General features: G+C 41.9%; 2 long non-coding RNA genes across 5 annotated transcripts, besides 1 other annotated feature; one reads left to right on the top strand and one right to left on the bottom strand.

Moving 5' to 3' along the window:
• The first annotated feature begins 181 nt into the window (after nucleotides 1-181).
• On the top strand, nucleotides 182-6,146 carry LOC102724734 (uncharacterized). Of its 4 annotated transcripts, none has more exons than XR_001754519.2 (4): nucleotides 182-208; nucleotides 4,186-4,304; nucleotides 4,600-4,796; nucleotides 5,790-6,146. It is a non-coding gene; the product is annotated as an uncharacterized LOC102724734 (long non-coding RNA). The 4 variants fall into 4 exon arrangements; XR_937306.3 differs by lacking the exon at nucleotides 182-208 and adding an exon at nucleotides 3,272-3,347; XR_430280.4 differs by lacking the exon at nucleotides 182-208 and adding an exon at nucleotides 3,365-3,451.
• Nucleotides 3,281-4,480: an enhancer, noted in NCBI's record as "CDK7 strongly-dependent group 2 enhancer chr20:19028509-19029708 (GRCh37/hg19 assembly coordinates)". NCBI's record gives its function as "activates an origin of replication core promoter dependent on BRD2, BRD4, P300/CBP, MED14 and CDK7 cofactors, with strong dependence on CDK7, by STARR-seq in HCT116 cells {active_cell/tissue: HCT116}" and the evidence as "EXISTENCE:reporter gene assay evidence [ECO:0000049][PMID:35650434]".
• On the bottom strand, nucleotides 3,450-8,917 carry LOC107985442 (uncharacterized). Its single transcript, XR_001754521.2, has 3 exons — nucleotides 8,672-8,917; nucleotides 4,971-5,145; nucleotides 3,450-3,749 (listed from the first exon to the last, which is right to left on the bottom strand). It is a non-coding gene; the product is annotated as an uncharacterized LOC107985442 (long non-coding RNA).
• Between the last annotated feature and the right edge of the window lie 18,044 nt (nucleotides 8,918-26,961).

The raw sequence follows: 26,961 nt of genomic DNA on the forward strand, positions 1-26,961 counted from the left end.
CACTGCAGCCTCATCTTCCCAGGCTCAAGTGATCCTTTCACCTCTCAGCTTCCTGAGTAGCTGAGACCACAGACATGCGCTACCACTCCTGGCTAATTTTTGTATTTTTTTGCAGAGACGGAGTTTTGACATGTCGCCCAGCCTGGTCTTGAACTCCTGAGCTTAAGCGATCTGCCAGCCTCGGCCTCCCAAAGTGCTGGGATCACAGGTGTGAACAACCATGCCCAACTGCAAAGGTTTTTGTTAGAATTTTTCCAGCAGATTTTATTCTTCCTTGGTAACCTTTACTTGTTTTTGCAAACTAATCAGAAACTTTTGTGCTTGCCTATTTTGAACAAAGTGTTTTAAAACCCCCGACACTCTTCATTTGGAAGATGGTCTAACACGCTAGAAAAGGTCCCAAATTTCTAAAGTGTGAAAATAGCAGCATTTTTATAGGTAAAACACATGATTTTGGGGAAAAAAAAATTCATGTCACATACCCAAACATCTCTTTAAAAAATGTTCTCTTTATAATAGACATTTCTTTGAAAAACAGTGTCTTTTCCCTCTTTGTTTAAATGTCATATTTACCTTGAGTGGACAGTGAGGCACTTCTTTTAAAAAGAAAATATTTGTTAGATAGCAAAGCAATGACAGCCACTTGTCATCACAGAGGAGATCAGCAAATTTGAAACATTTGTCTTTTTGTAAAAGAAAAGTGTATAACACGTCTTTAAGTCTGACAAATCTTTTAAGTACTTTGCTGTGAGATAACGTACAAATATTCATAGGTCACAAAAAAATTTTAAGTCCCCTTCTATTATGAAGTGTTATAAAAATTCTACTTGATCTTAAAGGTCCTAATTTTATAAGTTTTCCAACATCATTGACATCCTGTAATCCTTGGTACTTCTGACTGTAACATATTAGCCACAAGAGTGCGCCCAGCATGAGGCAATGTGTGACATGTGGCATGTGTCATACCATCCTAGCAGCCCTACCCCAAAATTCCTTTTTAATCTTTTAAGAACTTGCATTTATTTAAGGAAATCAGTTGTTAAGATTATATCTTTCTTTGCACGTCTTTACTATACTGATCTCCTAAAATACTTCTTTGTGGATTATCGGAACCAATCTGGCAAATTCCATAAGCTAAAACTTGTTAGAAACATCTGTACTTGATCCGTTTACAGTCTTCTGCACTGAATGCTTGCTCAAATGCTTATTTCCTCAGTGGCGTTTTCTGTGAGTATTCCAACAGTGTTTGCTGATGAAGGGATGTGTTTTCATTTGTTGCCATACTGTTTTCCATGGATTCTTTTAGTCATCTTTTATTGTTGAAGAAAGACAAGTGTTTTTTCAAAGGTAAGGTAGCTTTCTGTCCACCAATAAATAATTTTTTTGAAATTTTGTAAGGTAGTAAAGTAGTTTCAGTTAAACATCACTGAAAAAAGTCAAGGTTTGCCTTCTTGTTTTTGATGCTTTTCAAAAAATTGTCTTGCTGAACGTGATGGTTTTATCCAGCCATTCTGAACTGAATTATGACCTACAGAAAGTGATTTGAATAATTTTCCTGTATTTCTCTGTATGGCTAGCTAGTACTATTCTAGATGCACAGGGTGAAGCTAATCTCTTACATTCAGTGGATGTCTTAGGTCATTAGGACTTAATTTCCTGGAATTTCAGTTGAGAAACTTACTGTATTAATCCATTTTCATACTGCTATAAAGAATTGCCTGAGACGGGGTAATTTACAAAGGAAAGATAGGTTTGATTGACTCACAGTTCAACATGGCTGGGGAGACCTCAGGAAACTTACAATCATGGCAGAAGGTGAAAGGGTAGTAGGCACATTCTTCACAAGGTGGCAGGGCAGGATGGAGTGAGTGCAAGCAGGGGAAATGCCAGACACTTATAAAACCATCAGATCTCCTGAGACTCACTCATTATCATCAGAACAGCATGGGGGAAACCACACCCATGATCCAATTACCTCCACGTGGTCTTATTCTTGACATGCAGGGATTATGGCGATTACAATTCAAGGTGAGATTTGGGTGGGGACACAGAGCCAAACCATATCAAGGAATATTTAAGATTTTAAAAAATCACTATCAACCCCTTTGCATCATAGAATTCTCTTCCTTCCTTCAGGATCCCTGGGGACATGACTAGCACACAGATCCTTTGGCAATGCCATGTCATTCCATACATTAACTCTCGGAAGGCTAAGGTTGCTTTTGGTTAAAAAAATATAAATATGGGCTTAAATATTTAATTTGATAAATATTTTATTTCTGTACCCCCAAAGAAGTGCCTGCCCTATCCCCTGGAGTGTGGACACCTCATTCCAGAGATCATAAGTTTAGGGCACAAAGTGTCACTGTTCTTTATCTTTATTATTTACTTATTTATTTGTTTATTGAGTAATCATGCCAGTAAAACTTTTGCATTGAGAACTGAGAAATAGTGAAAGGGGGATAAAAATAAAGTCCAGTTTCTATAATAGAAAAAGGCTGGATGCACATAGGATCCCGGGAGTCTGTGGTAGATTATTTTCTTTGTTGTGCCGCACTGTTGCAGCAGAACCCTACTTATCCTGCAGAGGATGCCCCAGGTAACTTCTTCATCCTAGGTTACAGAATGTAAGTTACACAGAGCAGAACCAAACTTGCCCTGTAGCGTGGAGCCAACCTCTGCTGAATCCAACAGAGCTACGGCTGACCTGCAGATCCACGAGTAGTATCACAGTAAAATAATGGAACATGACAAACTTTTGCACATAAACCTATGAGTGTGCTCAGTGTTGAGTCCAGCATCAAGGACCTTTGCTCTCTCCAATCCTAAGTTGTATGAAGAGTTCTTCACACAGACACTTACATGCACACACATTCTCTGAGCAGGTCTGCTCAGAATTGCCTGGCTGTGACTTTGTTCTCAAAATATGTTGGTGTTTGGCAGCTATGTCAGACTATCAGCCAGTCCCTAAATACACCTTATTATTTCTCGTCATTTATGTCTCTGGGATGAAAAATATATCAGCCTGGTTGGTAAGAACAGAGTCGCTAAATGTGTTAAAGAAATAAAGGGTTTCATACAGGATTGGGGCTTACCCAAACATGGGAGGGGCTGGGAGAGTCATGGTCTGAAGGCTGCAGTTAAAGGGTAGGAGAAACAGTCACCTACAACTCAGAACTGGAAAGACTGGAACTCTTGGGCGTGCCTGAGAAGCTGCTGTGACTGCCTGCCAGAGTGGGAGTGCCCAGTGAGGTTTGCTAAACCACATGCTCCCTAAAACTGCGGTGTGAGCCAACATGACCTCCCAAGAGCTTTCCTCCTGCCTTCCCACCACAGGCTTCTCATTGGTAATAAGATTCATGTTCAAACCTGGAACCTCTCAGGGAAAGGAGTGCTAGGAAGTGGCTCCAAGTCTCAGATGGGACTCCTGGGGGTGCCACGTTGATAACAGGTGATTCAGCAGAAGGACTGACATTTGTGTGTGTTTACCAATCTAGGGCTTTACGTACCTGAGTCTGTTTGACTCCTGCAACAATGTTGAGGAGTAAGAGCTCCTCCAGGTACACAGCTGCTAAGTGGACAAGACAGGACATGGTCTTCCTGCTTAGTTCCTTCCTGACCACGTGGCATTGCTAGGGGTTATCCATCTGTTTCCTCCTCTAGACTTCAGGTTCCTTGGAGAGGGGATCTCTCTTATGCATCTTTGTATCTTCAATGAAGTAGAATTTTTGTACACCTTAGTATAGCATCTGCATATGAAAAGAATTCAATACTTCTTTTTTTTTTTTTTTTTTTTATAGACAAGGTCTCATTCTGTTGCCTAGGCTGGATGGAGTACAGTGGTGCAACCATAGCTCACTGCAGCCTCAAACTCCTGGACTCAATGGGGTCCTCCCACCTCAGCATCCTGAGTAGCTGGGCCTACAGGTGTGTGCCACCCTGCCTGGCTAATTTAATTTTTTCTTTTTTTAGAGATGGGGTCTCTCTATGTTGCCCAGGCTGGTATTGAACTCCTGGCCTCAAGTGATCCTCTCACCTCAGCTTCCCAAAGTGCTGGAATTACGGGTGTGAGCCACTGCACTCAGCCAGAATTTAATAAATTTTTTTAAAATTGAAGTGTTTAGATCTAGAAACAAAGAGCCAAGAAGATGCTCACCAATACATATCTTTCTTCTTGTCATTTAGGTTATATGTATTTTGAAACAGGAAATCTCGCCATCCTCACCAAAGCCATTTCCTTGAGAGGATTTTATCTGGTTTGTCTCCTTGACTCCAGGCAGGGCTCCATTCCAACCAGATGGAAGGTAATCTTTTATTTAATTTATCTTCTAATTATTTAGTTAATTTAAAGATTTTTTTGCTCTCTCTCCTGAAGTTGCTCAGGAATATGAAGAAAAGGGAGGGAGGCCAGACCAGGCCATTCTCAAACAGCATAGAACTTCCCAGTGACTGGATGAAAGATTTGCATTTCAGAACAGCAGCTGTTAGCTTGGTTGCTGGAATTTGCTTTCCCTCTCAACCCCCCAGCCAGCCTGTATCTCTCAGCTTCTAAAAATATAATCTTATTCTTGCTCTCTTTTCAACTTGAAATGGACATAGAATGCAGACATCTCACATCATTTACACCCAGAAGGCTGTCAGCAGCAGCGCTCAGGGAGTGAGAGTGTTTAATCTCGAGGAGGAAATAGAATGTATACACACCCTGCAAACTGAGATGTTTTACGTTGGCTCTGGCTCCTACCGCCCCCCATGTGTGGCAGCAGCTACCAAGACTCTACTGTGAATCCCCATGACTGGTAAGTCCTGTTGATCAGAACGATCGCGAATGTTTTCCTGCTCCGTAGACACGGGGCCCAGCCAGGCCACCCAGTCATCATTAACTGGGCTGCTGGTCCAGCCCTGTTTGCTGACTCTACCAGGGGTAACTATTTCATGACAAGTTTATAGGAGGGAGAAATCAAAAGTACAACCTTACTTTTTGCTGGTCTCTTCCATCCTCTGCTGGCCTCATGTGACCTCCCGAACATGGCACAGTCATCACCAGCTCCCGTTGGTCCCTGGGGTGGTTTGGCCGCAGTTACATTGGCACAGTCATTGGAAAAATCATTTCTGTACATCGCATCACTGGTGCATCTGGGCTTCTGCCTGAAGCACATGTCAGGAGGAATTGTTGGCAACCCTGAGGGCAAGGACGCATCTGCCTTGGGCTCCAGGGGTGGTGTGGCTTGCTGGAGTGGGAGGTGCGCAGCCCAGCAGGGTCAGACATTTCAGTATGCCACCCCACCCACCACACCCTACTCAGAGTGCAGGCCCCTGCGGCAAAAGCCTGTGCATGTGCTTTTCTCTCACGGCCCTCAAGAGAGGCCAAAGCTTGTGTTACTCTCACTTGCATCCTCTGATGACCTAAAGAGGGGAGAGAGGTCATTTTCATGGGGCCAATTCTATTCTCTTTTTCTCTTCTCCCTTCTCCTCTTCTTCCTCTTTTTCCCCATGACATATGTATTAAAAAGTCCACAGACTCTGGTGTACTTCTGGTGGGAATATAATTAATATGACCATTGTGATATACTGTTAGTAACATCTCATAAAGCCAAATATATATGGATACAGTATGACCCAGCAATCTCACTCCTAGAAATAAACCCAATAGAAATGCATGCAATAGTGCATCAAAAGGCATGCACTAGAATGGTCTTAGCAGCATTATTCATAGTAGCCCCAAACTGGAAATAATACAAACGTCCATCCACAGTAGAATTGCTGAACAATTTGTGCTATACTTACTACAGCAATGAGAATGAACAAAATGAACAACCTGCAGCAACATGAATGGACCTCACAAGGATAATGTTGAACATAAGAAGCCAGGCACAAAAGAGTGCATATTTTTGTGTCTGACTCCATTACATGAAGTTCAAGAAGAAGAAACATTAATGTATGGTTTTGGAAGGCAGGATGTGGGGAGGTAGTTGGGGCATGAGGAGGTTTTGGGGGTACAGGGTGGTGGCAGTGTTTTGCTTCTGGTTCTGGGGGATGGCTAAGTGTGTGTTCATTTCATGTAAGTTCATATGCATTTGTGCAATTGCCTGTAAAGTTGTCATACTTCGATAATATTAAAAATATGAAAAATAAAAATATAAAGCCCATATGGGAGAGCACACTTCTCTGCATTTTTTTTGCACTTTGGCGATGAGCTGACAGAGGGGTTGTTAACAAGCACCCTACTTGCTCACTGTGCTTGGTAGGATCCTCAACCTAGCGAGTCCCACCCCATTCCCCGGTCCCCAATCTCAAGCTCAAATCCCACACTTCCCCCTTCTCTCTAATCACACCACCAGCCCCTTCTCCTACTTTCCCTCCCTCCCAGCATCCGTAAGGCTCGACTCATGGCTCTAACTGCTGTGCCCTGCAGTGCGGGGGCCTTAACAGGGCTAGCCTTACATTCCAGCTGCTCGTGGTGCATACTGAGGGACTCAAAGCAAGACTGCCTTCTCTCCGTTTCTCTGCGGTATCTGCAACCTCCATATTGCTTAGTTCTTTAAGATTATGACATTATATATTCCTACTTAAATGTTAAAATGGAAGTAGCATGCTAATACTATCTTCAAATCCGTCCATCAGCCCAACTTCGCATTCAGGTTCCCTGTGAGCGAGAGAACCTTCCGTCAATACCCGCTTGAAAGTGGCCATCGGACTTTTGACCTTCAAGTTTTGAAGAATGGTCTGAACATTTTATTTTCCTTTTGTGTTTAATAATTGTATACTGTCCTTTCTTGACATAAAGTTGTGGCTATCAGAGATATTTTTAATCCAGTGATTTTTCAAACTGCTTTTGTTATCTGCTAAAGCCCTTCTTTTAACACTGTCTAAATGAGAATAGACGCTTATGAGAGATTAGAGCAAAGTTGTTGGGCAGTGGGGGAGGGGACTTCCAGGGCCCTCTCAGCTCCTTCCCAGTGTCCCCACACAGGTCAGTATGGGGGCCCACAGGGCCTCAGGTTGGAGCATCAGGTAACTTGCTCAATCTCTTTATTTTACAGTCTCTGCTCCAGGTCACCCTGGCCACACTCCAGAGCCAGGCAGAGACTCTCCCTCCAAAACCAGGGCTCTTTCCTCTCTGTTTCAGAAGGAATTCTGGCTTTCCGTCTCACCTCAACATTTGCAATTAGCATCCCCTTCTCTGCTTCCTCATGAGATTTCCCCTCACATTGTGCACATTTTGATTTGGGTGTGTGCTTGCATTCTGATGATTGGAAGTCCAACTTCTTAGACACTTGTAATCCCTGATTTAGGCCTGCAGGTTTGTGCTAGCAGAAGTTGCTGGAAAATGAGTCTGGGTCCTGGGGCTTTCCCCAGGGAATCTGAGACTTGGCTTCCAGGTTAAGGGAGCATGGAGTGGGTTCTGCACAGAGAGACGACCAAGGGCCAACTGAGCTTGGAATCTGGAAGAGTCCTTCAGCTGGTCATTTGCTGAAGTAGTTGCATATGAGTTTGTTGAATTTGGTGGACACAATCAATCACTGAACACACTATTTAATGCTTTAGAATGGTGTGTATGTGTGTATGTTGCATATGAATTGCCAAAGCCACACTAGTCAGAGACTCTAGGAACACACTTATCAAGCAAGGTTAGGTTCATTTAACTTTCTGCAGAAGAGGAAAGCACACACCAGGGGAATCGGGTATCTCAGAAACAGGACACTGGGATGGGGCTTCTGATAGGGTGTGGGCTTGTTGGGTGATTCTAAGGAGGGTTTGGGGAAGTGGAGGCTACTTCTGGGTTGGGTCTTATTAGAAAGCAGAAACAGTTCTGTTGTTGAGTATCTTCGTAATTGTTATCTAGGAAGCTGGAGGATTAAAATGGGGCTAAAGTTATCACTTGGTAAAGAAACAGAAGCTAATTATTAGTTAATTTTGTGGTTGCAGTGTGCCCTTGCCTCTAATTAGGTTTAGACATAATTATAGAGGGCTCTTGTTTCTGTCTTGTTTCATCCTGGTCACTGAGTGTCCTTGTCTGAATGCCTGTATTCTGTGAAAGTTGTTTAAACTCAGTAGGCAGCACTACAGGCTGCTTGCTGTTTGAGGTCAGCTGTCATGGCTGTTTGTTAACCACACACACTCATGTTTATATTATATGAGATATTTATATTATATCCATATCCATATTCATATTTGTGCAATGTGAACATATTACTAAATGATATAGTATATTTGCAAGTATCCAGCATGTGTGTCTGGCATATACAATCTGGAGAGACAATCTCACATCAAGTTTACTAGCATGAGCTTTGGAATCAGACAGACCTGGGGTTCTAATCCCTTAAGTAGATTTCTTCATCTAAGTTTCAATTCTCTCATCCATAAAATGGGGATGGTAATACTGATGATATATGTCTACCACGAGAAGTGAATGGATGTATGCATGCAAAATGATAAGCACAATGAGCACACATGTGGGTTAAACCCTTTGGTCCCCACAGCCATCCTGAGATAGGGACTAGGATGACATGGCCAGGATTTGTGGCCGAGCGTTCTGATGCCTGAGCCCGGCTGTGACAGTTGTACTCTGCTTCCTGGTACTTGGCAGATACTCCAGAGATGGTCACTGAATGTCAGTGCACTTGGGGAGATTGCATATATGAGTACTTCATCAAAGCCAGTTGCAACTTACCAGCAGGAAGAAATCAGCACTTCCACTGTTGGTGTCAGTGAGATGTGCAGGACAAGCAAGCCTGGCTTACTGACGGACAGTGGAGAACACTGGGGCCTATGACTGAGGCAGGAATGTTGCTTATCCACCTGCTCTGACACTGTTTCTTCTCAGAGAGACTGCTCCCGTGGGCAATGGAGTCACATGACCCAAACTGGCCACTCAGAGTCCCTTTCCAGCAACTTGGCTTTGGTTGGTCTCTGTTGGGTGTTGACTGGAGCTGCCATGAGGGATGAGGCTGAACTCTTCCCACCAAGTGCTTAGAGGAGATGAGACCTGTACTCAGTGACAGAGGATGCAAATGAGCAGAGAAGGAGAAATGAGAAGTCATTAGCCTCTGGAAGAGTTTTGGCCAAAGAGTTAGGGAGAAATTTGTCTCTTTCATTCCCCACTAAGGCAAAGGAAGGCGGTGATTGGCTGTCACTTAGAACCCATGAGCAAACAAGCATGATTTCTAGACTAGAAAGGACAAGACAGGAGATCTGTAGACCAGTGTTCTAAAAGTATGGTCTCCAAACCAGCAGCTAGAGCTTGTTAGACATGCAAACTCTCAGGCCTCACTGGAGACCTAAGGAATCAGGAACTCCAGGAGTGCAGCCCAGGAATCTGAGCTATAAGAAGCACTGTGGGGGCCAGGCGCAGTGGCTCACACCTGTAATCCCAGCACTTTGGGAGGCTGAGGTGGGCTGATCACAAGGAGATCGAGACCTTCCTGGCTAACACGGTGAAACCCTGTCACTACTAAAAATACAAATACAAGCTAAAATACAAAATACAATTACAAAAAAAATACAAATACAAAAAATTAGCCGAGTGTGGTGGTGCATGCCTGTAGTCCCAGCTACTTGGAAGGCTGAGGCAGGAGAATGGCATGAACCCGGGAGGCGGAGCTTGCAGTGAGCCGAGATCACATCACTGGACTCCAGCCTGGGTGACAGAGTGAGACTCCATCTCAAAAAATACAATAAATAAAAAATAAAAGAAGCACTGTGTGGATTCTGATGCCACTCAAGGTTGAGAACCACTGCTGTGGGATGGCAGGGTCTCCCTTAACACATGTGTGGAGGTGGTCCTCTACGTATGTGCCTTGCTTTGGAGCATAGTTCACAGTTAAGGCTGTTTAGTCCGTCTTCTTGCTCTGAGGATGAAAAGCCATGACAAGTGGCTGTGAGAAGCTGCAGGCCTCAACAGGGGACTACTCTGCGGGTTCCCAACCACACCTGGGTTCTTTGTGGGTTTTCCTATCCAATCCTAGACCCTAAGAGACCTGAAGATATCATGTCTCCAGGCTTATGACAGAACCTGGGAGCTGCCCTTTAGGGCTGTTCCATGTCTAACAAAGGTATGGACAAAGCTGAAGATGCCTGAGGAAAATGGTCTTAGCTTTGATTTGCTGCAAGAAGTTTTACAAAGTACGCTGTGTCAGCCCTGGGGTTTCTGGAATTAGGAAGCAGGCACAGAAAGAAACGGAGTTTACTAGCTAGCTGGGAAACCAAAGTGACCTTCTTGTTGGCTTTGGGAAGTTATGGGTTACTGATAGAAATAACCCTGTTTTCACTTTTCCCTACCAAGTTTCCCAGTGTCTTGGGCTTATTTAGGTTCCTTAAGGGATTCTCAAGGCCACCTCAGACTTTCCACCTTATGACCTGTCCAACCCAGTGGCCCTTCTCCCTCCTCTAAAAACTTCAGGCTGAGCAGCCACACACACAGAATCACTGTTTTTCTGCCTAAACCTCCATCTCTTGGTTAACCAAGCACAATGCACCAAACAGCATTATTTTACAGCTAAACAAATTAGTACAATTTTAGCTAATTTAATTTTTAAAAAGGCATTCGTTTAATCCTTTTTGTGAAAACCAAAGTGTCACCATTTATATTAACACCAAAAAAAGTTCTTAGGTAAGGCATAAAGTGAATAAAATTTGCAAAAGATCTATACATATCTATGCAGAAAACTACAAAACTTTTGAAAGAAAGCAAAGAAGATCTATTATTGATAATGGAAGGATGTTCTGTGTTCAGGTATTACAAGATTCAGTATTGTTAAGATGTGTGCTTTTCTCAACTTGATCTACAGGTTTAATGCAATTCCAACGAAAATCCCAGTAAGGTATTTTGTGGGTGTTGACAAATTGATTCTAAAGTTTACATGGAAAGGCAAAGGAACCAATACAGCCAATACGATAATGAACAAGAAGAACAAAGTTGGAGGACTGACATTACCCAACTTCAAGGCTTACTATAGTAATCAAGACAGAAATTAAATGATCAAGACGGTGTAGTATTGGTGAAGGAATAGATACATAGGCCAATGGAACATAATAGAAAGCCCAGAAATAGACCCACACAAATATACTCAACTAATATTTGACAATGGAGCAAGAGCAATTCAATTGAGCAAAGATAGTCTTTTTCATAAATGATGCTGGAACAATTGAGGGTCCAGAAGCCAAAAAAAAAAAAAAAAAAAAAAAAAAAAAAAAAAAAAAAAAAAAAAAATCTGGGCACAGATCTTAACCCTTTCATAAAAATTAACTCAAAATGGATCATAGACCTCAATGTAAAGCACAAACCTGCAAACATGCAGGACAAACCACAGGAGAAATCAAAGTGACCTTGGGTGGAGTGATGAGCTTTTAGACAAAATACTAAAAGCATGAATCTATGAAAGAAAACGCTTATTTAAATTTGACTTTATTAAAATAAAAAACTTTTGCACTGCAGAAGACATTGTTAAGAGAATGAAAAGACAAGTCACAGACTGGGAGAAAATATTTGCCAGACAAATATCTGGTAATGGACTTATATCTGAAATATAAAAAGAACTCTTAAAACTCAACAACGACAACAACAAAAACTCATGTGGGTCCATCTGGAAATTGGGATTTTTGTCCAATTTAAATAAGCAAAAGATCTGAATAGATCCCTCATCAAAGAAGATGTACAGATGGCAAATAAGCATATGAAAAAATATTCAACATCATATGCCATTAGGGAATTGCAAATTAAAACAACAATGAGATACCACTACATATATATTGGAATAGCCAAAGTCCAGAAATCTGACAATACTAAATGCCAGTGTTGATGTGAAGCAAAAACTCTCAGAGGATCAGGGTAAGATGGCAGATAGGAGGCAGGACTAGCTTGCAGCTCCTACTTGGATGAACAGAGCAGCGCATGGAGACTCACATCATGAACTTCTGCTCTAAGAACTGCTGCAGGAACATACCAGGAAAGCCGAGAGAATCCACAGACCCTTTGATGGCACTGGATCACTACTGCAGCCTCCCTGAGATGCTGAAAAACTGCCAAAGCAGCTTGCTTTCTCAACAGGGTGGCTCATGGTCTGGGACAAGTTCTCAGCCCTGGTCACTGGCTGCCTGAAAATACACACAGTGCTGTTGCGGGGGGCACAGTGGAAGTGAGACCGACCTTTAGAACTGCCGGCTGCATGGGAGCTGGATGAGGCCAGTGATTGCTAGCTTTCTTCCACTTCCCTGGTGGCCTGTGTGACTCAATAGAGGCAGCCATAATCACCCTGGGAACATAACTCCATTGGACTGAGAACCACACCCCCATTCCCCAATAGCAGCCGCAACAAGCCATTCCCAAGGAGAGGCTGAGCTCAGACACGCCTAATCCTACCCCCACCTGGTGGTCTTTCTTTACCTGCCCTGGTAGCTGAAGATGAAGTTCATAATCTCTTGGGTGCTCTATGGCCCTGCTCACTAGCTAAGAATCCTGAATACTTAACCAGCTGTCCCTTGGGCAAGTTTGCATCCTCCCTATAGGACCACAGCTAATGTGCACTTGAAAGCGCCACCTCCTGGCTGGAGGCCAAACAACATAAAACCAGCACACTAAAAACAACCAAGGACCATCACAGAGTCCATTTCACTCCCCTGCTACCTCCACCACAGCAGGTGCTGGTACCCATGGCTGAAAGACCTGAAGATGTATCACATCACAGGAGTATTTACAGACACTCCCCCGTACCAGCCTGGAGCCTGGTAGCCTACTGGGTGGCTAGACCCAGAAGGGCAAAAACAATCACTACAGTTCAGCTCCCAGGAAGCCCCATTCCCAGGGAAAGGAGGAGAATACCACATCAAGGGAGGACCCCATGGAACAAAATAATCTGAACAGCAGCTCTTGAATCCCAGGTCTTCCCTGTGACATAGTCTACCCAAATGAGAAGGAACCAGAAAAACAATTCTGGTAATATGACAAAACAAGGTTTTTTAATACATCCAAAAGATCAAACCAGCCCACCAGCAATGGATCCAAACCAAAACAAAAATATCTGAATTGCAAGAAAAAGAATTCAGAAGGTCAATTATTAAGCTAATCCAGGAGGCACCAGAGAAGGGGGAAGTCCAACTTAAAGAAATCAAAAATAGGATACAGGATATTAAAAAAAATTTTCAGTGAAATAGCATAAATAAAAAACAATCACAACTTCTGGAACTCAAGAGCACACTTAGAGAAATGCAAAATGCACTGGCAAGTCTTAGCAAAAGAACCAAATAAGCAGAAGAAATAACTTCAGAGCTTGAAGGCAAGGCTTTTGAATTAACCCAATCCAATAAAGACAAAGAAAAAAGAATAAAAAAATGAACAAAGCCTCCAAGAAGTTTGAGACTATAGTAAATGTCCAAACCTAAGAATAATTGTTGTTCCTGAGAAAGAAGAGAAATCTAAAAGTTTGGAAAATATATTTGGGGGAATAATCAAGGAAAACTTCCCCAGCCTTGCTAAAGATCTAGACACCCAAATACAAGAAGCTCAAAGAACACCTGGGAAATTCACTGCAAAAAGATAATCACCTAGGTGCATAATTATCAGGTTATCTAAAGTCAAGATGAAGGAAAGAAAAGAGCTGTAAGGCAAAATCATCAGGTATCCTATAAAGGAAAACCTATCAGATTAACAGCAGATTTCTCAGCAGAAACCCTACAAGCTAGAAAAGATTGGGGTTCTATTTTTAGCCTCCTTAAAACAATTATCAGCCAAGAATTTTGTATCCAGCAAAAATAAGCTTCATAAATGAAGGAAAGATACAGTCTTCTCCAGACAAATGCTGAGAGAATTCACTACTACCAAGCCAGCACTACAAGAACTGCTAAAATGAGCTCTAAATCTTAAAACAAAGCTTTGAAATACACCAAAATAGAACTTCCTTAAAGCATAAATCTCAAGGACCTATATAACAATAACAATGAAAAAAACACAAGGTATTCAGGCAACAAATAGTACAATGAATAGAATAGTACCTTACATCTCAATACTAATATTGAATATAAATGGCTTAAATGTTCCAAGTAAAAGATACAGAATGGCAGAGTGGATAAGAATTCACCAATCAAGTTTCTCCTGTCTTCAGGAGACTCACCTAACACATAAGGACTCACATAAACTTAAGGTAAAAGGGTGGAAAAAGATATTCAATTCAAATGAACACCAAAAGTGAGCAGGAATAGCTATTCTTATATCAGAAAAACAAACTTTAAAGCAACAACAGTTAAAAAAGACAAAGAGGGACATTAGATAATGATAAAAGGACTACTTCAACAGGAAAATGTCACAATTCTAAATATATATGCATCTAACAGTGGAGTTCCCAAATTTATAGAACAATTACTACTAGATCTAAGAAATGAGATTGATGGCAACACAATAATAGTGGGGGACTTTTATACTCCACTGGCAGCACTAGACAGGTCATCAAGACAGAAAGTCAGAAAAGAAACAATGGATTTAAATGATACCCTACAACAAATGGACCTAAGAGATATTTACAGAACATTCTACCCAACAACTGCAGAATATACATTCTATTCATCAGCATACAGAACATTCTCCAAGGTAGACCATATGATAGGCCACAAAACAAGTCTCAGTAAATTTTAAAAAATTGAAATTACATCAAGTACTCTCTCAGATCACAGTGGAATAAAATTAGAAATCAACTCCAAAAGGAGCCCTCAAAATAATGCAAATACATGGAAATTAAATGACCTGCTGCTGAATAATTGTTGGGTCAACAATGAAATCAAGATGGAAATTTAAAAATTCTTTGAGCTGAACTATAATAATGACACAACCTATCAAAACCTCATGGATACAGCAAAAGCAGTGCTAGGAAGATAGTTCATAGTATTATATGCCTACATCAAAATGTCTGGAAGAGCAAAAATACACAATCTAAGGTCACACCTCATGGAACTGGAGAAACAAGAACAACCCAAATCCAAACCCAAAAGAAGAAAAGAAATAACAAAGATCAGAGCAGAACTAAATGAAATTGAAACAAAAAAAAAATACAAAAGATAAGTGGGACAAAATGATGGTTCTTTGAAAAGATTAAAAAATAAAACCTGATAGACCAAAATTGAGATAAACCAAGAAGAGAGAAGATCCAAAGAAGCTCAATTAGAAATGAAACAGGAGATATTACAACTGATACCACAGAAATACAAAAGATTATTCAAGGCTACTATGAACACCTTTATACACATGAACTAGAAAACCTAGAGGAGATAGATAAATTCCTGGAAATATGCAACCATCTAGATTAAATCAGGAAAATGTAGAATCCCTGAACAGACCAATAAGAAGCAGTGAGATTAAAATGGTAATTTAAAAAATTGCCAAGAAAAAAAAGTCCAGGACCAGATATATTCAGAGCTGAACGCTACCAGACATTCAAAGAAGAATTGGTACCAATCCTATTGACATTATTCCAAAAGACAGAGAAAGAAGGAATCCTCCCTAAATTATTCTATGAAGCCACTATACCCTGATACCAAAATCAGGAAAAGACACACACAAAATATAAAACTACAGACCAATATCCCTGATGAACATAGATGCAAAAATCCTCAAAAAATATTAGCAAACTGAATCCAATAGCATATAAAAAAGATAATCCACTATGATCAAGTGGGTTTCATACCAGGGATGCAAGGATGGTTTAACATATATATGTCAATAAATGTAATACACTACATAAACAGAATTAAAAACAACAATCACATAATCATCTCAATAAGTGCTGAAAAAGCATGTGACAAAGTACAGCATCCCTTTATGATTAAAACCCTCAGCAAAATTGGCATAGGAGGGACATACTTTAAGGTAATAAAAGCTATCTATGACAAACCCACAGCCAACATTATGCTGAACAGGGAAAAGTTGAAAGCATTCCCCCTGAGAACTAGAATAAGACAAGGATGCCCACTTTCACAACTTCTATTCAACATAGTACTTGAAGTCTGAGCCAGAGCAATCAGACAAGAGAAAGAAATAAAGAGCATCAAAATCAATAAAGAGAAATCAAACTGTTGCTGTTTGCTGATCATATGATTGTATACCTAGAAAACCCTAAAGATTCATCCAAAAAGCTCCTAGAACTGGTAAATGAATTCAATAAAGTTTCAGGATACAAAATTAATGCACACAAATTAGTAGCTCTGCTATACACCAACAGCAACCAAGCTGAGAATCAAATCAAGAACTCAACCCCTTTCACAATAGCTGTAAAACAAACAAACAAACAAACAAAAGTCAAAATACTTAGGACTTTACCTAACCAATGACCTAAAATACCTCTACAAGGAAAACTACAAAACACTGCTAAAAAAAAAATCATAGACAACACAAACAAGTGGAAACATATCCCATGCTCATGGATAGGTAGAATCAATATTGTGGAAATGACTGTACTGCCAAAAGCAATCTATAAATTCAATGCAATTCCCACCAAAATACCACCATCATTCTTCACAGAACTAGAAAAAAACTATCCTAAAATTCATAAATTTTGTGAATTTATTTATGAATTTACAAATCAAAAAAAGAGCCTGCATACCAAAAGCAAGACTAAGCAAAAAGAACAAATCTAGTGGCATCACATTACCCAATTTCAAACTATACTATAAAGCCATAGTCACCAAAACAGTATGGTACTGGTATAAAAAATAGGCACATAGATCAATGGAACAGAAAAGAGAACCCAGAAATAAAGCCAAATGCTTACAGCCAACTGATATTTGAAACAAAGCAACCAAAAACATAAAGTGGGGAAAGGACACCCTATTCAACAAGTGGTGCTGGGATAATTGGCAAGCAACATGTAGAAGATGAAACTGGATCCTCATCTCTCACCTCACACAAAAATCAACTCAAGATGGATCAAAGACTTAAATGTAAGACCTGAAACCATAACGATTCTAGAATATAACATCTGGAAACCCTTCTACTCATTGGCTTAGGCAAAGACTTCATGACCAAAAATCCAAAAGCAAATGCAGTAAAAAAACAAAAATAAATAGTTGGGACTTAATTAAACTAAAAAGCTCCTGCACAGCAAAAGAAATAATTAGTGGAGTAAACAAACAACCCACAGAGTGGGAGAAAATCTTCACAATCTGTACATCTGACAGAGGACTAATATCCAGAATCTACAAAGAACTCAAACAAATAAGCAAGGAAAAAACAAATAATCCCATCAAAAAGTGGGCTAAGGACATGAATAGAAAATTCTCAAAAGAAGATATGCAAATGGCCAACAAACATATGGAAGAATGCTCAACATCACTAATTATCAGGGAAATGCAAATTGAAACCACAATGTGATACCACCTCACTCCTGCAAGAATGGCCTTCATAAAAAAATAATAGACGTTGGCATGGATGTGGTGAAAAGAGAACACTTTTACACCGTTAGTAGGAATGTAAACCAGTACAACCACTATAGAAAACAGTGTGGAGGTTCCTTAAATAACTAAAAGTAGATCTACTCTTTGATCCAGCAATCCCACTGCTGGGTATCTACCCAGAGGAAAAATAGTCACTATACAAAAATGATACTTGCACATGCATGTTTATAGCAGCACAATTTGCAATTGCAAAAACATGGAATCAGCCCAAATGCCCATCAATCAATGAATGAATAAAGAAAATGTGGTATATGTATACCATGGAATACTACTCAGCCATAAAAAGGAACATTTGCAGCAACCTGGATAGAATTAGATTCTAAGTGAAGTATCTCAGGAGTGGAAAACCAAACATCATATGTTCTCATTCATATGTGGGAGCTAAGCTGTGAGGACACAAAGGCATAAGAATAACACATTGGATTTTGGGGATTTGGGAGAAAGGGTTGGGGATGGTGAGGAATAGAGGACTACACATTGCATACAGTGTACACTGCTTGGGTGATGGGTGAACCAAAATCTCAGAAATCACCACTGAATAACTTATTTATGTAATCAAACACCACTTGTTTCCCCAAAACCTATTGAAATTAAAAAATAAAAAATAAACCTCTCATTCATTGCTAGTGGATATGCAAAATGTTACAGCTACTTTAAAGACAGTTTGTCAGTTTCTTACAAAGCTAAACATAGTCTTACCATAAAATTTTGAAATTATGCTACTTAGTATTTACCCCAATGAGCTGAAAACTTGTGTCCACACAAAAACCTGCATATGAATGATGACGGCAGCTTTTTGCATAATTGCCCTAAATTGGAAGCAACACAGATGTCCTTCAATAGGTGTATGGATAAACAAACTAGTACACCCATAGAATGGATTATTATTCAAGCCATGAAAAATGATGGAGAAACTTTTAATACGTTGACTAAGTGAAAGAAGCCAGTTTGAAAAGACCATACGATTCCAACTATATGATGATTTGAAAAAGACAAAACTATGGAGACACAGTGATTTTCAGAGTTTCAGGGAGAGAGAAAAGGGATAAATACGTAAAGCACAGGGAATTATTAGGGCAGAGAATCTATTCTGTATGGTAATGTAATGGCAGATACATTACAGTGACATTATCCATTTGTTCAAACCCATAGAATATTACAGCACAGAGAATGAACCTTAATGTATACAAATTAAAAAAAAAAACCATTTGGGTATCGAAGTCTCTCTCGATTCCCTTGGTGGAGTGTTTGGCCTGCTCAGGGCATTCTCTAGATGGTTCTTAGGGCAGCTGCCTCTGCTTTGGCCCACCCAGACTTACTGAGTCTGTCATTGAGCATCATCTTGCTGCCTGGGGTCATTAACAGTTCAGCTTTAGCTATATTTTCTAGTCCAGTTATCCATTCTGGGGTAGCTGGGCACATTTCTGGATTCTAGTATGTAAGGCATCTCATATTGAGTGGGATGGAGAGGGTGCAGAGAAGTATCACTGGGTTGTGTGAAGGTAGGAACTGGAGCTGGAAAGCCACTGGGATTGTGACTTTTATTACACCAATAGCCCAGTGAGAAGACATACAGGTATATCAATGTAGACATGCTGAGAGCACCCAGTCAGTGAACTCTTGCCTATTGTACTGTACATGTGAAGTGTGATGGAAACCTGGTACTGTGGCCATCAATCATATAGCTGCTAGTAACTGAAGGTGGAAGGCCTTAATACATGTGTTGCCTGCAATAAGTGTCTTTAGCACAAACTTAATCTCCCCTGCAGTTCTGGCATATGTGTGGAAAAGGAGTTTGGTGGTTGTGGGGGCACAAATCTCTCTCCTAGGACAGAGGAGGAGGAGTACAGACGTTCATCAGACAATCAAGGCAAGACTCAAGGAGTGAATAGGAAAAAAGTACTTAAGGAAGTTTTACAAGCTGTGTTTGTTAAATATTTGTGAATCAGGGTCTTTTGGGAATTAGAAAGAGAGCCAATCAAGGTGATATGGTTTTGCTGTGTCCCCACCTAAATCTCATCTTAAATTGTAGATCCTATAATTCCCATGTGTTGTGGGAGGGACCATAGGGAGAATTGAATCATGGGGGCAGTTTCCCCATACTGTTCTTGTGGTAGTGAATAAGTCTCAGGAGATATGATGGTTTGATAAGGGGAAACCCCTTTTGCTTGGTTCTGATTCTGTCTCTTGCCTGCCATCATGTAAGAACTGTGAGTCTACTAAGCCACGTGGAACTGTGAGTCCATTAAACCTCTATTGCTTTATAAATTACCCAGTCTTGGATATGTCTTTATCAGCAGTGTGAAAACGGAAATTGGTATCAGATAGTAGGGTGCTGCTTTAAAGATACAAAAAAATGTGGAAGTGACTTTGGAACTGGGTAACAGGCAGAGGTTGGAACAGTTTGGAAGACTTAGAAGAAGTCAGGAAAATGTGGGAAAGTTTGGAACTTCCTAGAGACTTGTTGAGTGGCTTTGACCAAAATGCTGATAGTGATATGGACAATAAAATCCAGGCTGAGGTGGTCTCAGATGGAGATGAGGAGCTTGTGGACTGGAGCAAAGGTGACTCTTGCTGTGTTTCAGCAAAGAGACTGGTGGCATTTTCCCCTGCCCTAAAGATTTGTGGAACTTTGAACTTTAGGGAGATGATTTAGGGTGTCTGGTGGAAGAAATTTCTAAACAGCAAAGCATTCAGGAGGTGATTTGGGTACTGTTAAGAGCATTCAGTTTTAAAAGGGACACAGAGCATAAAAGTTTAGAAATTTTGCAGCCTGATGATGTGATAGAAAAGAAAAACCCATTTTCTGAGGAGAAATTCAAACCTGCTGCAGAAATTTGCATAACTAACAAGGAGCCAAATGTTAATTCCCAAGACAATGGGGAAAATGTCTCCAGCGCATGTCAGAGACCTGCAAAGCAGCCCCTCCCATCACAGGCCTGGAGGCCTAGGAGGAAAAAATGGTTTCATGGGCCTGGCCCACCCACCAGTGTTCCCCTGCTGCATGCAGCCTAGGGATTCGGTGACCCGCATACCAGCCACTCCCGCCATGGCTAAAAGGGGCCAAGGTATAGCTTGAGTCATGGCTTCAGAGGGTGTAAGCCCCAAGCTTTGGCAGCTTCCACATGGTGTTGGGCCTGTGGGTGCACAGAAGTCAAGAACTGAGGTTTAGGAACCACTACCTAGATTATAGAAAATGTATGAAAATGACTGGATGTCCAAACAGAAGTTTTCTGCAGGGGTGGGGCCCTTGTGGGGAAACTCTGCTAGGGCAGTGTGGAAGGCAAATGTGGTGTTGAAGCCTCCACATGGAGTCCCCACTGGGGCATTGCCTACCAGAGCTGTGAGAAGAGGACCACCATCCTCCAGACCCCAGAATGATAGATCCACTGACAGCATGCACTGTGTGCCTGGAAAATCCACAGACACTTGACACCAGCCCTTGAAAGCAGCCAGGAGGGAGGCTGTACCCTCCAAAGCCACAGGGGTGGAGCTACATGAGGCCATGGGAGCCCACTTCTTACATCAGCATGACCTGGATGTGAGATCTGGAGCCAAAAGAGATCGTTTTGGAGCTTTAAGATTTGATGGATTTCAGACTTGCATGGAGCCTGTAGTCTCTTCGTTTTGGCCAATTTCTCCCATTTGGAATGAGTGTATTTATCAAATGCCTGTACCCTCATTGTATCTAGGAAGTAACTAACTTGCTTTTGATTTATAGGCTGATAGGCAGAAGGGACTTGCCTTGTCTCAGATGAGACTTTGGACTGTGGACTTCTGAGTTAATGCTGAAATGAGTTAAAACTTTGGGGGGCGGTTGGCAAGGTATGATTGGTTTTGAAATGTGAAAACATGAGATTTGGGAGGGGCCAGGGGTAGAATGATATGGTTTGGCTCTGTCCCCACCCAAATCTCATCTTGAATTATAGTTCCCATAATTCCCATGTGTTATGGGAGGGACTCAGTGGGAGTTAATTAAATCGTGGGGGCAGTTTTCCTCATACTATTCTCATGGTAGTGAATAAGTCTCAGGAGATCTGATGGTTTGATAAGGGGAAACCCCTTTTGCTTGGTTCTTTCTTGCCTGCCACCTTGGTTCTCTCTTGCCTGCCGCCATGTAAGACATGCCTTTTGCCTTCCGCCATAATTGTGAGGCCTCCCCAGCCACGTGGAACTGTGAATCTATTAAATTTCTTTTTCTTTATAAATTACCCAGTCTTGGGTATGTCTTTATCAGCAGTGTGAAAATAGACTAATACACAAGCTATCTTAAGAACTGGAGAGCATGCCTCTCATAGTTGCTGGGTATTCATCCACTAACTGATGGACTAGCTCAGGGAGTGGATATCCACCCACTAACTTAGGAGTCCCCAAACCCCAGGGCATAGACTAGTATCAGTTTGTGGCCTGTTAGGAAGTGGGCCACAGTGCAGGAGGTGAGCAGCAGGTGAGTGAGCATTACTGCCTGAACTCCACCTCCTGTCAGATCAGTAGTAACATTAGATTCTCATAGGATTGCAAACCCTATTGTGAACTGCGCAAGCAAGGGATTTAGGTTGTGCACTCCTTATGAGAATCTAACTAAACTCTGACCATCCCCCTTCCCCCACCCCTGGTGTGTGGAAAAATTATATTATATGAAACTGGTCTCTGGTGTCCAAAAGGTTGGAGATTGCAGCACTAGCTCATATCCCTCACTGAGTAAGGCTCTCAGCTGGGATATCAGCTCCAACACTTCCTGCTTGCTTGCTATGGTCTGATTTCACGTGTTCCCCCCAAATTCATGTGTTGGAAGTTTTTTCCTCAATGCAACAGTGTTGGAAGGTGGGGCCAAATGGGAGGTGTTCAAGTCATGAGGGTTCTGCCCTCACGGATAGATTAATGCCTCTACAGAAAGGGCTTGCTGGAGTGGATTTGCTCTCTTCTGCTCTTCTGCCATGTGAGGATGCAGCAAGAAGGCCCTCACCAGATGCCAGAAACTTGATCTTGGAAACTTTCCAGCCTCTGGAACTGTGAGGAAATAAATTCCTGTTCTTTATAAATTGCCCAGTCTGTGGTATTTTGTTATAGCAGTACAAAACAGACTAAGACACTGCTTAAGCCCAGCCTGTTCCTGTGACTAGAGAGAGCTCTCAGGCTGGTAACCCTGAAGCCTTCCCTGAGTGCAGGTTACCTGCAGGCAGGCTGAGGGGCACGGGTGGCACCAACAGTAGCCACCACTTTAGAATTTTTGTCTTGAGCTGAGTGAGAAGAGCAGGGAAGGTGAGTTGAGCTGAATCATTCCTGGGGCAGGTCTGCAAGCAGATTGTCCAAGGCTCCTTATTGAGGCCTTTGTTGTTGAGCCATTCCTTCGTGTTAGTGAGGTCTCCATGCCTCTTCTAAAAACATACTTACTTTTCTCCCTAAATTACTTAAAATTAGTTTGTTCCTTTACACTTTCAGAGTGAACTGACACACTATTCTAGCCAACTCTAGCTCAGGAGGGATGAGACAGAAGAGTTGGGAAGATCTTTTCCTCTTCCACCTCTTTCTGTGGTTTCTCACCTCACTGATTCTGCAGCCCCTAGAACGCTGCACGGCTGGTACTTAGCTGAAGGAGGTCACATCCTGGTGAAAGGGAAGAGATCCTTTAAGGGGATATGCCATGTGGCACCATGTTGCTGGTTCCCAAGCATTGGATGGGCTTGCTCACTCCCTTGGATATTCTGACACAGAGCTTCAGACATGGCAGGGCCAGGGTCTCTGGGATTTTCCAAAAGAACTTTGAGATTTAATAAAATACCTCTTTTAAAGTTGTTTTTAATGGAGCTCTTATGATGGATTTTGTGCAGAACTAGAAAAACAGGAGTTAGTCAGTCTCACAGAGCTGAATTAGGAAGTACCTGAGATAAAAATGTGAAGTGGGGAGAAATTTGTGTCCATAGCATCCTTTTTTCTCTTTTCATGTGAGCAGTTGGACTAGGTGACATCTAAGGTGTTGATTTTCAAAAGCTGGTTCATAGAGGGATGTCTGTCCATGATGACAATACCATTATCTTAGTTTGGGCTGCTATAACAAAAATACCATAGACTAGGTGGCTTAAACAAAAGAAATTTATTTCTTGCACTTCTGGAGGCTAGAAGTCTGAGCTCAGGGTGCCAGCATGGTTGGATTCTGGACAGGGCTCTCTTCCTGGTTTGCAGGTGGCTGTGTTCTCATATGAAAGAGAAAGAGAGGAAGCAAGCTCTTTCCATTCTGTTCTCACAAGGGCACTAATCTCATCACAAAGGCTTGACCCTCATGATCTAGCTACCGCCCAAAGGTCCCATCTCCAAATACCATCACATTGAGCATTAGGGTTTCCTACATATGAATTTGAAGAGGGACACAAACATTCAATCCATGGGACTGGTCCTTTATAATGAGAATAAAAAGGAGGATGCACTGAGTCTTACATAAAACAAAATATATTCAATTATTTTTAATGGAATAATTACCTTAATAACTATTTTGTAAAAAATTAGTTTGCAACTCTAAGCTATTTTTACAATTTTTTTTTAATTTACTGATAACATCAATCACTCAAATTAGGATGACTTGAGGACGGTTTAATAAAGAGACTATTTACAAAGACATGCTAGGGGTGGGAAAAGCCACAAGAGATAGTACATTACCCTGGGACTAGAAAGCTGGGCCCTGTTATCAACACTTGGCCTGAGTGGTAAAGGGAAGAGAAGTTTCTGGAAATTGAAAGGAGAGAGTCTTGTGGAGATGGCCACCCTAAGGGAAGCCCTTGATTATCCATAGAAAGACATCACCAGCCTGCGGAGACCTTGCAGGGAGGGAGCCTAGGAGTAATTACTCCAACACCTGCCTCTCCTTCCCTCTAAGCTGTTGCTGAGTAGCCTTGCTGGCCAAACACAGCAAAAAGACAGAGGCCAAGGGAACTGTTGGATGTGGTCCACAAAGGTTGACCTCCTGGGGCAAAGATCATGGAAGAGAAGTGGTATGGACTGACTGTGTCACCACAAAATTCGTATGTTGAGATCCTCAACCCCAATGCGATGGCATTAGAAGACTGGGCCTTTAGGAAGTAATTAGGTCATGAGGGTGGAGCTGTTAGAAATGGGATTAGAGCCCTTGTAAAAGGGACCCCACAGGCCAGGCATGGTGGCTCACACCTGTAATCCCAGCACTTTGGGAGGCCGAGGCAGGCAGATCACAAGGTCAAGAGACAGAGACCATCCTGGCCAACATGGCGAAACCCCGTCTCTACTAAAAATACAAAAATTAACTGGGCATGGTGGTGCACACCTGTAGTCCCAGCTACTTGGGAGGCTGACATGAGAATTGCTTGAACCTGGGAGGGGGAGGTTGTAGTGAGCCAAAAATCATGCCATTTCACTGAAGCCTGGTGACAGAGTGAGACTCATCTCAAAAAAAAAAAAAAAAAAAAAAAAAAAAAAGGGACCCCAGAGAGCTGTCTCACCCTCTTTCTGCCGTGTGCAAACAACAAGAAGTTGCCATCTATGAACCAGGAAGAGGGCCTTTGCCAGACACCGAATCTGCCAATGCCTTGATCTCGTACTTCTCAGCCTCCAGAACTGAGAAATAAATGTTTGTTGTTTAAGCCACCTAAACTATGGCATTTTTGTTGTTGCAGCAGCAACTAAGAAAAGAAAGGTCTAGAAGGCATCAAACAGAAGGCATCTGCAGAGTCCATTCTTTTGCCTCTCAACATCCCTTCTCCTCATCTGGGAAAAAATTCACAGAATATACAAAGTCCCATCAGAAACTACATCATTATGAGATAATATCAATGAGGTTACACTCCCAGGAGAAATCTGAAATGTTAGCCACTACTGGTGTCTCAATTTCCAATTCAGTAGAAACAATACTGCATTTCTAGAATAATCATTCTTCCTTTGAGTGTTTCTAAATCTGCCCAAGAACATGGTAACAGGAAGCAAAAGTTCTTCAAGTAGGATAGTAGAAGTAACAGTAAGAGGGACCATTCTTGGACTTTTGCTTGCTGGCTATAGCAGAGAGAACACTACATTTGGATGCTGGCTGAAGGCATGTTGTTTAGGGCAACACCCCAATTGCATAAAGGGTTGGCTCCCAAGCTGGTGCCATTCCTGAGTCTTCAGCAGGTCATTCCAGCACACATCAAGCCAGCCTCTGGGTGATGGGATGCATGGAAAGACTAGTGAATTCGATGTGTGTGGGCCCGTTGCCGCAGCCTCTTTGCAGTAAAATGTTTCCTGAGCAGAAGCAACATTGTGTGGGAAACCATGGCAATGGATTGTGCGTTTTCTAAGTCCAAGAACAGTAGCTCTGGCAGACGCGCTGCTGGCAGGGAGGATACATCCCTAACTGCAATATGTGTGTGTCCCTGTGAGGACAAAGTGCTGTTCCTGCCATGATGGAGGGGGCCAATGTATTCAATTTGTCACCAGATAGCTGACTGCTGCCATATTTATTATAGCACTGGTGGAAGCCGAGCAGAAGACAGAGGGTAAAGTTGCTGGTTGATGCCGCTCACACATGCCAACCTTCTGGTGGAAAGCCGAATGCAGAGAGGAGGAGAGCCACACATTGGTTCAGGAAACCCCCAAATTTAGGGCTCCTGCTCTGAGACCTCCACAAGTTTATGACGTTTTTAAACTTTCAGGCCCTTGTGGTTGCCTCTTCTCCCTCTGTCAAAACGGAGCCCTTTTGAGGATCTCTTCCATCTTGGTGGGGATGTAGGGAGCCCCTTGCTCTTTCTGGAAGAGTTTGCATTTTAGCTTTACCACTTAAAGTGTTACTGCCTGAAGTCTGGCTCATTCCTTTGTGGCCACAAAGTTGGACCCTTGGGAGCAGAGAGTGTTATTTGATTTGACATCATCTTGACTCTTGAAAACCACACACACCTGGGGTTGCTGGTCACAGAGACATTTTGGGGAAGACTGATTTGCAGCAATTCTCAGCTAATTTTCATAAAATAAGCAAAGGAGAAAGAACGTGGCTTCAGGGTCAGAAAATACTGGGTTTAAGTCAAGGCTTTGCTTTGAGAGGTTCTAAAGGGTATGACTTTGGGGAAGTTGCAAACTCTTGGGGAGATTCAACTTTCCTCTTCTGTAAGCTAGGAACCAGAGTGACTATCCCTCAGGGCTTTGAGGAAGTTAAATATGTTGTGCAGGTTGTAACACAATGAGGTTCCAGGGAGTGGTAATAATGCACCAAGAGGATTTGGTCCCACACGCTGCCTGTGATCCACCAGGCCCCCAGTAATCTCTGCATCACCCCCTGCCCCATCACCAATCCACAGAGTCAATAGTCATGTATTTTGCTAGGGGGTCTCAAGTTCTGAGCCTCAAAGAGGAAGTTGAGCATTACAAAAATAGAGGTGTTATATGGATAAAGCTGTAGCTTTCTACCTGTAAAACCCACCACATCAATCTGTGAAGATGCGGTTCATTATTCTCAGGATGATGCAATTAGTCTTAATGACCTGGCAGGCGCTTGTGAGCAATGATTCTTAATAAAGCTTTCAGGGCTAGGGT

Source organism: Homo sapiens, chromosome 20 (genome assembly GCF_000001405.40).
Source record: "Homo sapiens chromosome 20, GRCh38.p14 Primary Assembly".
Lineage (NCBI taxonomy): Eukaryota > Metazoa > Chordata > Mammalia > Primates > Hominidae > Homo > Homo sapiens.